The sequence below is a fragment of the Homo sapiens genome, chromosome 13 (assembly GCF_000001405.40).
Source record: "Homo sapiens chromosome 13, GRCh38.p14 Primary Assembly".
Taxonomy (NCBI): Eukaryota; Metazoa; Chordata; class Mammalia; order Primates; family Hominidae; genus Homo; species Homo sapiens.
The window spans coordinates 52572895-52589619 of record NC_000013.11 but is presented as its reverse complement, the minus strand read 5'-3'; the positions used below and the strand labels follow the sequence as shown (position 1 = coordinate 52589619).

At 40.4% G+C, this 16725-nt stretch overlaps 1 long non-coding RNA gene and 1 pseudogene across 3 annotated transcripts in view; one reads left to right on the top strand and one right to left on the bottom strand.

The window, feature by feature from the left end:
* The window catches only part of LINC00345 (long intergenic non-protein coding RNA 345), a 118126-nt gene that overhangs the window by 10988 nt on the left and 90413 nt on the right, over positions 1–16725 (top strand). The gene's annotated exons all lie outside the window — the stretch shown is intronic.
* TPTE2P3 (TPTE2 pseudogene 3) overlaps positions 2525–16725 on the bottom strand; it is a 98103-nt pseudogene continuing 83902 nt past the window's right edge. Inside the window, exons 19-24 of the transcript NR_002793.2 lie at positions 16174–16254; positions 12444–12549; positions 10185–10276; positions 6432–6524; positions 4917–4987; positions 2525–2810 (exon numbers count right to left, since the gene is read on the bottom strand). The product of NR_002793.2 is annotated as a TPTE2 pseudogene 3 (transcript). The remainder of the gene's footprint in view (positions 2811–4916; positions 4988–6431; positions 6525–10184; positions 10277–12443; positions 12550–16173; positions 16255–16725) is intronic.

Sequence of the window (16725 nt, the reverse complement as noted above, 5' to 3'; positions counted from 1 at the left end):
CCATCGTCTCAGCCCAAAATCTCCTTAAGCTGATAAGCAACTTCAGCAAACTCTCAGGGTACAAAATCAATGTGCAAAAATCATAAGCATTCCTATACACCAATAATAGACAAACAGAGAGCCAAATCATGAGTGAACTCCCATTCACAATTGTTACTAAGAGAATAAAATACCTAGGAATACAACTTACAAGGGATGTGAACGAGCTCTTCAAGGAGAACTACAAACCACTGCTCAAGGAAATAAGAAAGGACACAAACAAATGGAAAAACATTCTATGCTCATGGATAGGAAGAATCAATATCGTGAAAATGGCCATATTGCCCGAAGTAATTTATACACTCAATGCTATCCCCATCAAGCTACCACTGACTTTCTTCACAGACTTGGAAAAAACTACTTTAAACTTCATATGGAACCAAAAAAGAGCCCGCATAGACAAGACAATCCTGGGCAAGAAGTACAAAGCTGGAGGCATCACGCTACCAGACTTCAAACTATACTACAAAGCTACAGCAAACAAAACAGCATGATACTGGTACCAAAACAGATATATAGACCAATGGAGCAGAACAGGGGCCTCAGAAATAACACCACACATCTACAACCATCTGATCTTTGACAAACTTGACACAAACAAGCAATGGGGAGAAGATTCCCTATTTAATAAATGGTGTTGGGAAAACTGGCTAGCCATATGCAATTCTTAAATATTTTTTGTAAGCCTTCTTTTGCATTTTGATGAAGCTTTAAGGGCTCCTTTCAGGTACAGGGGGAGATGGTAAACACTAACCATTGGCAGTTATCATGACACTAACCCTAGTGTAGGTTCTGGGGATGTTGTAGGGTGGTTTCAGTTCAATCTTTTTCTTCTGTTTAGAATTTGTATTGAAATGATTTCACCTGGCTGGGCATGGTGGTTCACACCTGTAATCCCAGCACTTTGGGAGGCCAAGGCAAGTGGATCACCTGAGGTCAGGAGTTTGAGATTAGCATGGCCAACATGGTGAAACCCCATCTCTACTAAAAACACAAAAATTAGCTTGGCGTGGTGGCAGGCACCTATAATCCCAGCTACTTGGGAAGCTGAGGCAGAAGAATCACCTATACCTGGGAGACGGAGGTTGCAGTGAGCCGAGATTACAACACTGCACTCCAGCCTAGGCAACAGAGACTCTGTTTAAAAAAAAAAAAAAGAAAAAGAAAGGTGGGTTCCCTTGCATTTTCTCAGACATTTCTGACCCTTCAACTCCTCAAATCTGGTTCAGACAACCTCTTCCACTACTCTGCATGTTGCTAATGGTATAAAAGTGGCCAGACACGGTGGCACATGCCTGTAATTCCAACACTTTGGGAGGCCGAGACGGGTGGATCACTGGAGGTCAGGAGTTCAAGACCAGCCTGGCCAACATGGTGAAACCCCATCTCTACTAAAAATACAAAAATTAGCCAAGCATGGTGGCATGCACGTATAGTCCCAGCTACTGGGGAGGCTGAGGTGAGAGAATCACCTGAGCCCAGGAGGTTGAGGCTGCAGTGAGCCAAGATCTTACTACTGCACTCCAGTCTTGGCAACCAGAGTGAGACCCCATCTCAAAAAGTACAAAATAAAAATAAAAAATTTTGTTTAATTAGCCAGGTGTGGTGGCGTGCACCTGTAATCCCAGCTACTCAGGAGACTGAGGTAGGAGAATCACTTGAACCTAGGAGGTAGAGGTTGCAGTGAGCTGAGATCGTGCCACTGCACTCCAGCCTGGGTGACAGAGTGAGACTGTCTCAAAAAAAAAAAAAAAGTGTTTAATAAAAAAGTAGCATCCAGCACCAATGAGGAAATAATAATGATTCCCTGTGGACACAGGGCTAACCACTGTTTTCAATGAAAAGATTACCTCCCTTCAGAGTTCCCCCAGGGCTTAGGTGACATTGGTTGTGAGCAGGAGTAGTGGATTTCAAAATAATACACCTAAATTACTCTAAGAACAAATATTTCTTTTGACTTCACTTACAATTTTATACAAAAGCAGAAGTTACTGAAGGTTACTTCTCCTTCATATTTACTACGCCCTTCTTACCCCAACCCCCATGTCTGTGTGTAATTAAAGGAAGCTTGTTAAGTAAGCTACCCATTTAGTGCTTGGAACAAGAGAAAAGTGTGTGTTGGGAGTTGGGGGACTGCTTGTGTGAAATATTTCTCTCTTCTGGGTTTAAAACTTAGTCTTTGCTGCCAATCTGTTAACAGTTTGTAAATCGAGTAGAAGGAAAAATATAAATTAGCTTTCTAATAAACCTGAAATTACAAATGTGAAAAAAAGCAGGGAATAAATACCTGACCAAAAATGTATAAGTAAGTGGGTGTTGGGGGATCACAATTTTTAATTATCTCTCAATTATTTTGATACGAAAGTTCTATTTCAAAGTTCTTCAAAATGACGCCTAATGTTCCTAAGTACTGTGTTCCAAATGTATGTAAATACAAGATGCAAACTGTGAAATATATGCCTTCAAAAAGAAAAAAAACCTGACATTTTATCTGTATATATTTAATAGATTTATAAAGAACATGTGTATACATATATCAATATAGATGTACCAGCAAGGAAGATTTAGAACATATAACTATGTGGCAGGGTTAGAAAGAACATAATTCTTTCCCAGAAGGGGTGCAGGGAACTATACTTAATCAGCTACCAGTTACAACATAACTTAAGTCATTTCTCATCAAAATATGTCTCTACTGCATATTCTGGTTGATAAATTTTCCAGTTTTTTGTTTATGAAGATTATCCAATTCATTTCTTTGTAGATAAAGCCTAAGAATAGAAAAAAAATTGTTACATTTTATTTTGGAGTTAACTGAAAAGCCATGTAGTAGGCACCCTTGTTAGAGCTTGAAGAAACAAACAAAAAAAAGACTTGCTCACCATGAATAGAACCTCAGCCCCTTTTTTGTGTCTCAGTTGGCTCCTTCTACCTTTTCGGTGAGACTTAAAAATATCTTAATCTTCAGCAACACATCAGTAACACATGCTACTGATTCTTTTAACGTTGCTTTTTATGGAATTAATGACATCTAGGTTTAATACAGTATCTAAATTTCTATATGTGACAGAAATCAGTCTGATTAGACATGTATCAAAACCCAATAATAAAATACTATATCTCTTTTAATTTATGCCTGAGGTTGCAATTTTTTGAATTTTTGCAATCAGCCCTTGGCGATGACCTTGAGCAGTAGGATATAAATAAATCCCACATGCTTAGCATTCCAATAATGGAACACTAGGCATAAATTGGTTAACCCATTTATGCCTAGTGTTCTAAAAGACAGAAGTTGGCATTTTTGGCTAAACAACAATTTCACAACTAAGAAAAACAGCTTTACCAATAGTATATAAATTTAAATATTACAGAAATCTTTAGAAATTTATATAAAAGTGAAAATAAAGGTGATCTAACTTATTCCTTCCCCAAAATGAACATGGTGTTTCAAAGGAAAAAAACTGTATCCTTTACCAAGAATCAATCTGAGGAGCAGCAACAAATGAAGCTCCACCCAGCTCTCACATTTGAGGGACTTTGCTCATGTTAGGAATCAAAGCTTATTGTTTGTATGCATCCAAGAAACAAATTTGTAAAAAATTTCCATCCAATCCAAAGTTCACTCTATCAAAATCTATTAAATGTGTATGTATTGCAAGTGTGTAGACCAGAGGTTTAATTTACTGTTGCCTTGCTGGACTTAAGGAGTTATTAGATCCAGCTCAGATTTGAAGAAAAGACTAGAACTGGTTGTACCGATAACTACCAATTCATGCCACATGCAATCATAGCAACTGCCTCAACTGTGACCTGAAGCATTTTAAAAATATTTTCTCTTTTTGTATTGAAGAGTATGGTTGATACAAAAAAGTCTCAGTTTTTCACCAGCACAGAACAAATGCTACTTAAAGTGGAGAACTTCTAGACTGAGAAATAAGTTTCCAAATATGGCAGAAGGTTTTCTGGGAACAATAATCTCCAAATCCAAGTAATAGTTGTTCTGTTTTTTTGCTTTTTTCTTTAGACAGAGTCTCACTCTGTCGCCCAGGCTGGAGTGTAGTGGTGCGATCTCGGCTCACTGCAATCTGCCTCTTGGGTTCAAGCGATTCTACTGGCTCAGCCTCCTGAGTAGCTGGGATTACAGGCATGTGCCACCACGCCTGGCTAATTTTTGTATTTTTAGTAGAGACAGGGTTTTACCATGTTGGCCAGGCTGGTCTCGAACTTCCAACCTTAGGTGATCCGCCCGCCTCAGCCTCCCAAAGTGCTAGGATTACAGGCATGAGCCACCACACCCAGCCTCCAATTAATAGTTTTTAAGAAAGTTTTCCCAATTCAGTTATTAGAAACCCATGTTTAAATGGGAGACTATCAATTTTAATGATTTTTTAGCTGTATTTCTTAATACTTACTGTGTCTTGTAACTTCTCTTAGATATAAGTGTGTCAGTCAGCTTTTCAGCTAGCTGAAGCTTCCCTAGGTCCTCCCTTACTTTAGCACAAAATTTGGTGGTGGTTCGTCATTGGTAAATCAGCACCTACTGAGGACCTGACATGTTGAAGGTACTGAGCAGATTCATATTGAACTTCTCTGGGAGGAATTTACTTCCACACTTAAGATCTGATTATAATACTTTTGAGCTCATAACACAGTCCTATGGCATGGACCTTGAGGATGCTGCAACCGGGGGTCTCAAGAACAACTGTATTTTTAAAATAGCCAAAGTAAAAGGAGTAAGACAATGAACAATGGTGGCTCGAGGATTTTTTGTTTTCTATAAATTAAGCTTATGACAACCAGCAAAAGACTTGCCATTACATCTTATACATAGACATTGAAGATTAGGTTGTTTCTATGGGTTGATATTATATACATACTTGTTATTTTGTATTAAAGATGTGTTAAACCAGAAGAAAAAAGGGTAGTTGTGATAGTATTTAGGAAAATCCTAAAAAGAAAAAAAAAATATTTTAAAAGTAAAATTGATGCCAAGAACTAATCATTCCAAAGAAATCAAAGTTCCTTCCTTTATTCCTTTATATATTTATCAAATAATTATAACCATTCAATATGTAGCACTCTGCATTCTATAACAACACACTCAAGACACAGAGGAGGAGGCTTAAGAAAATGCTATTGCTTTCTCTTGCTATTTCTATCAAAATTTTCAAGGAATAGTTTATTTTCCATGATAGATATTTAATTTAAATGCTGAAATTTGAATCTGGTTTAGATAGTGCTAAACAGAATCTACTAAGGACCTATCCTTATATATAGCCAAGTATTTTTGTAGTGAATTCTTACAATTTTTTTGTGCCTCAGCATCCCTTTCAAATATAAATTGGACTTTCTGATATCAGAAGCAGGGTTCAGTCACCCTTGACAGTTTCCAGTTCACCTCCTCCAGGTTTCTCAATGTGACTGATCCCAGTATCTGCCTTATACAACCTTCTGTTGGTGACTACTTCATTATGGGACAGCTAGATATAACCTCCCTACAGACCCCCATACTCTGCATGGACCATGTGGATATATCAATGACCACCTCTCAGTCACAGCATGACTCCATGGAACTCATGACTGCTTGCATTAAATCCACCAGTTAGACCTCCCCGTAGGAAACCTGCTCAGGTAACACCTTACATCCCAATAAAGGCTTCCACTCTCAGGTCCCTCCCTCGTTCTCGCTATTGCTCCCCACCCATCAGTTGAGCACAGGTCTCCTGGATGGCTCCCCCTTCCAGTTAGCCCTGCGAGGTGTGCTGCCCTCTTCTCTCTGGAATTAATAAAAAACTGCTTTGGTTATTTCATGTGTTGTATTGTGCTGCCTTCTCTGTGCTTCACCCAACTGAGTCACCCAAACCTAACTCTCTTTCAAGTCAGTGCTCCCAGCTACTCAGGAGGCTGAGGTGGGAGGACTGCATGAGCCCAGGAGGTGAAGCTGCAGTTAGCTATGGTCACACCACTGCACTCCAGCTGGGGTGACAGAGTGAGAACCTGTCTCAATTTGTAATATTAAAAATGATGCAAAACAAAATGTAATCACTGCTATGCAGTAAAACATACCTTTGGTTTTTTAGCATCTTGGCTTTTATTTTTTTTGTATTTATTTTCTATTTTTTGGATTTGTGAATTAATACATGTAAATTTAGAAAAATTTAGAAAAATTTAGAAAATGTACAATTTAGAAAAAACAAATGAACAAAAATTATTCAAATTACATATGTTCTTTTAAAAAAATTGTTATAGATCTGATTTATTTTCTCCCCCTCCCTCTATGGGATGACATCTATCATCTCCCTTGTTGGGAACTGTAGTAAAGGAAACCTTAAATAAAACCATTCAAAAGTTCAGATAAGAACAGTGGCAGAGGCCGTTTCTTGATTACTCACCGAAGAGGAAGCTTGCACTTTCACATCATCATACAGAGGTGGACAGTTGAACACATCAATTATTACCCTGTCTGTTTCAGTGTCATGAAATACCTGTGAATGAACATGGAATTTAGAACTATAAACCTAGCTAATGATAACAATGAAGTTCCTTTTCACTTATCAAGACTTCCTATATTTATCAAGTACTTTTGGTCTCACAGACCAATCACTACATGTATAAATAATTATTAATAATCTTTTCTAGTTGCAATACTGTTGTTTATATGTATGTGTGTCTGTATGTGTGTATGTGTGCGTGTATATATATATACATATATATATATATATATATATATTTTTTTTTTTTTTTTTTTTTTTTGAGACAGTCTCACTGTCACCCAGGCTGGAGTGCAGTCGTGTGATCTCAGCTCACTGCAACCTCTGCCTCCCAGGTTCAAGTGATTCTTGTGCCTCATCCTCCCGAGTAGCTGGGACTATAGGCGCATGCCACCACACCCAACTAGTTTTTGTACTTTTAGTAGAGATGGGGTTTTGCTATATTGGTCAGGCTGGTCCCAAACTCCAGGCCTCAAGTGATCTGCCTACCTGGGCCTCCCAAAGTGCTGGGATTACAGGGGTGAGCCACCATGCCCACCCTGTTGTTTATGATTTTTAAAGGCCAACATGTTTGAGGGTTATCATGAGGCACTTTTCAAAAGTGTCTCCCTTTTCAAAACTATTGAATTTTCTATTAGACACTTTAATCAGTTAAATATTGTTATTTAATGTGTGTCATTTGATTTTCATACATTAGGGCCTCTTTTGAGAACATGCTGAGAAGCTCAATTTTAAAGCTAGCCTTGACATTCTAAAAACAATGCTTAACTCACGGTCTTTTATTTACTAAATTTAAAAAATAACAACAGGGGTCTGTAACACTTGGGGGGTGGGCCCACCTGCCCCTCCCAAGAGAGGGGAGGGTGGGGTCCCCCGATCATCGTGTTTTATCAGAACTCTTGTGTTTGTCAGTGGGATCTTTGGACTTGACCATTACCGGCTGCAGATGGAGTGACCAAAGATAGTTCAAGTTTTGGAATGAATGACTTTGAAGATATACTATTTCTTTGACTCACTCTCGTATAAATAATGGCACCCACAGTAAGAAGGATCTATGCTAGGCCCTGTGAAAAACACAAAAGGAGGTGCAGACTCAGTTGGTCCCTTCAGGGAGCTATACACATAAGAAACAATCGCAGAGGCCGGGCCTGGTGGCTCATGCCTGTAATCCCAGCACTTTGGGAGGGCAAGGTGGGCAGATCACAAGGTCAGGAGATCGAGACCATCCTGGCTAACACGGTGAAAGCCCGTCTCTACTAAAAAAATATAAAAAATTAGCCGGGCATTGTGGCGGGCGCCTGTAGTCCCAGCTACTCTGGAGGCTGAGGCAGGAGACTGGCGTGAACCCGGGAGGTGGAGGTTGCAGTGAGCCAAGATGGCACCACTGCACTTCAGCCTGGGCGACAGAGCGAGACTCCGTCTCAAAAAAAAAAAAAAGAAAAAAGAAAAAAAGAAACAATTGTAGAATGGAATATAATTCTCAATCTGTATGATGAAGACTGGGTGTGCTCTTATGCACCATTGAAGGCTAGTTAACAGGAGGTGCAGAAAATTTCATTGAGGAGGTAGAAACTGAATTGGGCATGAAAGCTCTGAAAATAGAATCTAGTCCATACAGAGGGAAAAAGACCAGCAATAACGCAAAGTAGAAATGAGAAAAACAACAAAAAAGGTCAGGCAGTGTGGCTCATGTCTATAATCCCAGCACTTTGTGAGGCTGAGGTGGAAGGGTTGCTTGAGCTCAGGAGTTTGAGACCAGCCTGGGCAACATAGCAAGACCCAATATCTACAAAAAATAAAAAAAATATTGGGGGACTGCTTGAGCTCAGGAAGTTGAGGCTGCAGTGAGCCATGATCGCGCCGCTGTGCTACAGCCTGGGACAGAATGGGACCCTGACTCAAGGAAAAAAAAAGGAAAGGAAGGAAGGAAGAAAAGAAAGAAATAACCAACTAACTAACTAAATAACTTAGAGTTGTGTTCCAAGAGCCAAAGGGGATGACCCAGTTTATTTGGAATGGAGTCTGCTGGTCGAGCTACTGATAAAAATAAGCTCAGGTATGTTAGGGCTATTATATCTTAAGAGTTCAAGAGCCAAGGAAATAAGAGTGAGGCTTTTGAAGAATATCGTGGGATATTTCCTATGTGACAAAGAGGCCTGATAATTATCACATATAACATTTAGTTAGTGATTTATAGTTTACAAAGCAACTTCATATATATATTATCTAATTTAATTCCCATAACACTTGAGGTGTGATATTTATTTTACAGGTAAGGATGTTAAGCCAAAGATGTTAACTGGCTTCGACCATGGGCATGCAGTGTGTCTTCTGCTCTACCTACAACTTTTCACAATGAGAGCAATATTTCAGTACGCATATTTCAGGATTCTATACATTGCATTATATAAGAATCAAGAAAAGGTAAGGAGAGGATTGTAGAAATCTAGGCATGAGCAAATGAGGTTCTGGACAGTTAGTGGCAGTGAGAACAGAAAGGAAGGCGAGCACAGAAACATTTCAAAGGCATCATCAACAGGGATTGATGCCTAACTGGATTTAGGGAGCCAAGGCAAAGAGAATCAAAGCCCAAGGCCTGAGTGGGAGAATGCTGCTACCATTTGCAGAAGCAGAGAAAGCTCCTTGATAATTCAGACTGGCTACTGCGTTTCAGTTCGAGTGGAAACTGTTCATGTTGCAGCTCTTGCATCTACAACTCAGTGGGCGACTAGAAATACCTCGTCAGTAAATGAACAAATAATAGTTTAAGTAAGGGAAATGGGTGATTCTTTAACCAAGAATAAAGCATTTGCTAAGAACAGAAAGCCAAGGATCAGGCCTGGGTGAATGCCCTCAGTTGGGAGAGGCCAAAAAAAGTGGGTGCAGTGCAGAGAGCCAGGGAATAGGATTAGTAATAAAAGAATTTGAGACAAAGACCTGGGTAGGAATTCTAAAAGTTTATGGTTATTAGACCCATGAAGGAAGCTTTCTCATTGTTTCAGAAAAGGTATATAGTTTTAGGCATTTCTTCATTGTAGCAAAACATTGACTACCAGGTCCCTTTTGCTTTGGATAAAGAGATTCCTCCCCAATTCATTCACTCGTGCATTGTTTCTCACAGGGTCATCCCACAGAACCTCTGACTTAGAAGAATCACTTGGGACACTGCTAAGTCTATAGATTCCTGCCCCCATTCCAGATTTCCTGAATCATACTTTAGAGTACAACCTAGGAATGTAAATCTTTACAAGCTTCTCAGTGGTTTTCATGCACACTAACATTTTAGAATCAGTGCTATATAATAAAAGATAAAATGACCGAGAAGAGGAGAATATGGCTAAAAATGACCAGACATGTAAATTAAAATCCTTAATACATTCCTGGGAACATGCTCAGCATTTGTGGAAAAGTGAAAGGCAAAGCAACACTGAACAGAAATAAATTCTGGAAAGTACCCTGAAAAAACTGTTTTGAACAAACAGGTTAATTTATCTCTGGTTTGCATTCAAATCCAGTGACACCACGATGGTAACCAGAAAGCATCGTGGAATCTCTTTATGGTAAGTGATAGTTTAGGGAAGTCAACATTGCTGGTTTGACATTCAGCCTTAAAACAAACATCAGATTTTTTTCTATTCACATGTTTTCTCTTACCCGACAACTGTTTAAGGAAGTGCAGGAAAAGACAATCTTTTTCTTCATTACTATTTGGACTTTTAGATCATATCCATCGCCTGTTCCAACACCTAAATGAAATTAAAAAGTTAGGTTGGTTAGTGTGAAGATCAAAATGTCTTGCCAATTAACATTATGGATTAAAAAGGGAAAAAAAATGGCTGGGCACGGTGGCTCACGTCTGTAATCCTAACACTTTGGGAGGCTAGGCAGGTGGATCTTTTGAGGTCTGGAGTTCAAGACCAGCTTGATCAACATGGTGAAACCCCGTTTCTACTAAAAATACACAAAAATTAGCCCGGTGTGGTGGTGCATGCCTGTAGTCCCAGCTACTTGGGAGGCTGAGGCAGGAGAATCGCTTGAACCTGGGAGGTGGAGGTTGAAGTGAGTCGAGATCGCACCACTGCACTCCAGCCTGGACCAGAGTGAGACTTAGAGCAAGACTCTGTCTCCAAAGTGAATAAATATATATATCTATATTTAGGGAATATATATATATATATTTAGGGAATAAATATAGATATATCTATATTTAGGGAAGGTGACTTGACACCTTTCTTGCTAATGTGTTGCTTCCTTCAGACTTCTAATCATAATGATTCTTAATAAGAAATACTGTGGTCTAAATTACTTTGGCCCTACTTTAAGTCTAGTTCCTGATGCAATCTCTATAAAAATATAGGTTATATCCAAAAATTCCCAAGGTATTCAATATATATTTACAGACAAAGGCTCTTTTGCCCTTTTTTTTTTTCAATTCAAATGACCCGCTTCCTTAGCATTTCCTCAAAGGCTTTGTTTCTCAGGCTCCAATTAATTTTTTATTGCTTTCATCTCAACTCTACATTATTTTTAATTTAAAATGGCACAAAACTAAAAGTAGAGAATTAAAACAAATATTCTAATAAACAAGTGTATTAATTATTCTTGATTGATCATCTCATATGCCGTTTGTTTTCTTTTCATTTAATTTTGTTTTCACTAACACCATGATATTCATTGGTCATTAGAAATCAGTTTCTTGCCTCAGTTCCCTCTTTCCCATTCCAGGTGCAGAACTTCTTTCTATTGATGTCCACCAGAAATCAGTGAAATGCAGAACGAAACTCAGGAGGCTAAAAATACTAGGCTCTCTGTGTGGACACAAGCACCCCGGCACCATGGCACCTATAACACCCAGCAGTGGCACCACCTCAGGTCCACACGCTGGCTGTTATAAGAGGTTTCCTTTAGGGGTTCAGATGCATCACCTCCCTGCTACCTCTCTGGCAGTGGGAGTGGTGAGACCCCATCCCCTCTACACAGACACATCCTGCTTTCCCACCTCTACTGAGTGTTAAGCTGTGCAGGGGAAGCAAGGTTGGTGATGGAGAAATGGACATGGAAATGGAGGCCAGTTTCTCTCTGCACTTTCTTTCTCAAGTCCCGAAGGTGTACGACTGACCAATTTGCCTGCGTCCCTGGGCAACAGTGCATCCCAGCTTTATCTCTCTGCTTACATTCTGGAAGCAGGCAAATAGCTCTCATGATGTTTATATGGATTTTTACAACTGCTAATACTCGGTAACAGCTAGGTGGGTGAAAGATACCTCCATAGAGCCCCACTCTCTCGCAACCCTTTCCATTTTCATGTAGATTCAGGCAGGGAAGACCTAAGCGCTCCTCCTAGGAGGCTCTTCTTGACCCCCAGCACTGTGGCTGGGAGTGAGAGCCACAAGGTATGGGAGTGGCTGGGAGTGAGAGGGTTACAGATGGAGGACAGAGGGGAAAGAGAGAGCCCAGGGGGATGAGAAAAAAATATGCCTCTGAAAGAAGGTAAGAAAATGATATGATATGGAGACACCTCCACCAAGACAAACTCTCAACTAGAGGTGGTTTGAGAAATAACCAGTCTTGAAGGCACATGGGACCTCCTCCTCCCTCATCAGAGGCTCACTCTGCCCTGAAAAGTCCACCTTGGGTTGTGACCAGAAGAGCAAAGAGAACAGGAGAGATGGGAAGGGGATGAAGTCCTCCAAATTGGTGATGGAAAAGAAAAAGTGAAGAACATCTAAGGGCTGGCAATCAATGGGCAATTCCAGGAGGAGGGGCATACCTAAGGAGGAGTTTATGCATGAGGATACGTAAAAAGACAGGTATAAGTTAGGATCATCTGTGTATATAACAATGAGCAAAACCCTCCCAGAGTGGGAACCTTGGCCCTCCTGCCCAATTCTTCAATTTTACATAAACACTTACCATGAATCGAATAAATAACTAATCTTTTTATAAACAGTGTTTTTCTTGGAGGGAGATTCCAGTTGTAGCTATGTTTCACTTGTGCAAAATATCCAACATATCTATTCTGAAAAGCAACAGAAGCCTTACTTTAAGTGGAGATGAAAAGCCTGAAGTCAGCATTCCTATTTTCAGTTTTCCCTTTTTTTTTTTTTTTTTTTTGCATAAAGGTTAAGGGCAGTAAATAATTAAGGAAACATTTACTGGATGCCATTATGTTACTAGATATTTTGAGGGATGCTGCCTCACAACTATCTACCTTGGGGAAAAAATACTGAATTAAGTGCTATGGGGAAGTGACAAGGATGGAGCCAGGTCTTGTTGACAGGCTGCTTATGGTTGAGAGGGCAACTAATCAGAACCAACAACAAAACAGTTACAGCATTAGCAGTGTGCAGATAGAAGCTTAGTTGTGACTGAGTTAGAGGAAGGTGTGTGGTTTAGTGAAGAGCAGGTTCCTGGGCATGAGAGAATGCCATATGTGAAAACTCAAGAGGAATACCTCCATATCTCAGTAGCAGGTTTCCTGTCATTCTTCTCTTGTTCCTGACAGCTAGGATTTCTTCACTTTCCATTTCCCCAATTCTGTTTTCACAAGGAAGCCCCGGAATTCCCTTAGCCTTGTCCTTTTCCTAGGGCAAGCTGTTCACAGTGGCTCTCCTTGAATCTATCTTCAAGGAGTTGAAGAGCTCTGGTACTGAATCAACTGGTTCAGAACTCAAAAGTTGGCTGCGCTGGTGGCTCACACCTGTAATCTCAGCACTTTGGGAGGCCGAGGTGGGCAGATCACTTGAGGTCAGGGGTTCGAGACCAGCCTGGCCAACAGGGTGAAACCCCGTCTCTACTAAAGCTACAAAAATTAGCCATGCGTGGTGGTGGGCACCTGTAATCCCAGCTACTTGGGAGTCTGAGGCAGGAGAATTGCTTGAACCCAGGAGGTCGAGGTTGCAGTGAGCTGAGACTGCACCACTGCACTCCAGTCTGGGTGACAGACAGATTCTGTCTCCAAAAAAAAAAAAAAGAAGAAGTACTCATAAGTTCATGGACTCTATCTTACCCATTGAGAAATGTTCATAGAAGTAACAAACTGCCATACTTTCCTTTAGAAAGGGCCAGTCATGAGGAAGGCTCATGAAAGTTCTTAACTTAGGAGTAGATGTAGTCAGTAGAATGGCCCACAATGCAGGATCAGAATGTGATGGTATCCGAGAATCACCACCAGACACAGAGGGCACTCTGTCCTGAGGTCTTGCCAACACATCTCTCAAATGTGCAGCTGAGACCCTGTGTTGCCTTCTCAGTCAATCAGAAGAGATTCAGTTGCAGCCTTTGGTGTGCTAGTTCTGGACTAAAGTTCGGGAAACTATGCATGACTACAGAAGAGATGGGGATGGGGAGACGTGTGGGGTGAGTTGCTGAAGGAGCTCTATCTAACATCTCCTTGGCTCCTGCCACCAGATTCTCCACCTTCCCCTAAAGGCTGTAACCTGCCAGGGCCCTCAAGCTGCTTTTGCTCCCATGCTTCTTTCTACTACAACTTAAAACAACATGGACTGGTAGTAGAAATTCATACAACCAACCCATAGGAGGTACTCACTACAAACAAAGAAGATATTATGAGGAAAGGGTGGAAAGATGGGTAAGCCATGGGCCTTGCCTTTAAAGGGGAAACAGAAGTCACCACTTCAAATAGCTAGAGAACAATGCAAAGTGATATCATCCCTAAGAGAAACACAAAGGGCTTTAGGAACTGAAAAAGCAAGAGACTACTTCAGGCTGGGAAGGGAAAGGGACTCTAGGAAAAGGGGCATGAGAAATGGCACGAGGGAATCAAGTGTCCATGGGCTGGGAAACAGCACACAGTCTAAATGTGTTAGAGTGTGGGATGTGTGCATGCACATAGTGGAAGAAAAGGTTGGAAAAGTCAAACTGTGGATCTTGAGTGCCAGGTTGAAACATTTAGTTTATTGCTACTGGCAGTGGGGACATACTCTGGATTTTGAGCATGGAAATGGCATGAGTAGGGCTGCACTTCAGTAAATCCACACATTCCTTTTCGCTTAGGGTCTATGACTGTTCTTTGTCTGGTTTTGTTTTTGGCTTGGGTGTGGGAGAAAAGTATCAGTGGATAAGGCTGAGTTCTTTTGCCCAAACTAAACGGGGACAGTAGTTAGTGTTCTTATAACAGGGCCAAGAGTACTTATTCAGTTCCCACCACCTAAAGAAAAACTCATTTACAGCCACATCCAAATCTATTTGAGAATTCCCAACCCACTCTCACTTCGGTTTGAGGGGCAATATAGAAAAGGCAATATAAATGAGAAGCTGTGCACAGCATGGGCTTCAGAGTCTGACATCTAGATTTCAGTCCTTGGTTCAAAAGTTAATTTCTCTGAACCTCAATTTTCTAATTTATAAGATGAGAATCATAGTAGTGCCTACTCATAGAGTTACTGAGAATATTAAATGAGATAGTGAATGTAAAACTCTTAGAATGGTTCAGCAAAGTCTAGAATGTTGTAAATGCTATACGATAAACATTCTGGTTTCTGCAGTAAACAAATTACAAGCAATAAAAAATGGCAAGAAATCTATGAACTAAAAGAGACTTAGGAGACATAGCGACCAAATGAAATGTGTGGATGTTGTTTGAATTCTGACTGAAACAAACTAAATTTTCAAAGATTTTAAGACAATTTTGGAAACAAACATGGACTAGAAATTTGATATTAAGGATTTTTAAGGTGTAATATTTCAGATATGATAAAAGTTATTAAGGGTTTTTTGTTGTTGTTTTAAGAGTACTTAGATGTCATACTAAAATACTTGTGGGATAAAATGATCTGATGACTGAAATTTCCTTCCAAATAATCCAGGTTTGGGGAAAGCAAGAGTGGAGAGTGGGGTTGGGGGTGTGAGTGGAGTGGGAAAAGTATGGATGAAACGTGGCCAGTTGCAGGCTGAAATGATTGTTGCAGCGAAGTGATGACTACATGGAGATATATTGTATGATTCTCTGGACTTTTGTATATGATTAAAGTTTTCCATAACGAAATTATTTTTAAAAGAAAAAACAGAGTAACAGCATATGTTTCATATAGGTGTTATGGGTTTTCAATGAGATATGTAAAAGTGCAGTACTGTCTGGTATATAAAAGGGTTTTTGAAAAGTTTATTTCCCCTTTTCTTTCTCTTTTAAAATACACCTCCCCCACCACACACACACACACACACACACACACACACACACACACACACACGGGAGTCACCCAAAAACAGTCTTTGTGATGTTCTGCAAGGGTTGAATTGCCCTAATAAGGATCTGTGAAAGACTTAGATCTTTTTTACATTGAAATCAAAGGCTGGTGATTTTAGATAAACTTCAGGGTCCTGGAGCCTTAGGTATTGGACTTTCCTGCTTTGGGAAAATAATCAACTCCTGAGCTCCGTAAACAATAACCAGTATAGAATAGAAAGCAGGATGCTCTGAGGAGAAGCCAGACCCCCCAACGTGTGGGTGGCACCTGAAGCATGACCCTTAGCATCAGGGAGGGACCAAGGCCTGTCGCAGGGTGCCCTAATGCTGCTGACTGATCACCAAAGGAGAAGAGTCTAAAATGAAACCAAATAACAGATGGCAATCTTAACCCACTCCCCTACAAAAGCTCCCTTTCTTAAAACGAAAACTTACCTGAGAAGGAGTTTCTACTCCCTGATATTTAGTGCCATTGGTTTTATCTGTTCGCCGTTCTCCAAAATAGTACAATCTTTCCTACAAAAAAGGAACCATGGTTCATCTGCACTCTTTCCTTTTCTATATTAGGTACCTTAGTCTTTCTAAAACCACCTTCTTTCCTAAAGTCAGTGATTTTTTTTTTTTTTATGGAGTCTCGCTCTGTCACGCACACTGGAGTGCAGTGGCAGAATCTCACCTCACTGCAACCTCTGCCTCGCGAGTTCAAGCGATTATCTTGCCTCAGCATCCTGAGTAGCTGAGACTACAGGCGTGTACCACCACACCTGGCTAATTTTTTGTATTTTTAGTAGAGATGGGGGCTTTGCCATGTTGGCCAGGCTGGTCTCGAACTCCTGACTCAAGAGATCCGCCTGCCTTAGCCTCCCAAAGTGCTGAGATTACAAGCATGAGCCACCGCGCCTAGCCGCAGTGGTCTTTTGGCAAAGGCTACCCAAATTACCAAAATTAACAAAGTCACATCAAAGACTTCTCTCATTCAAGGTTTCG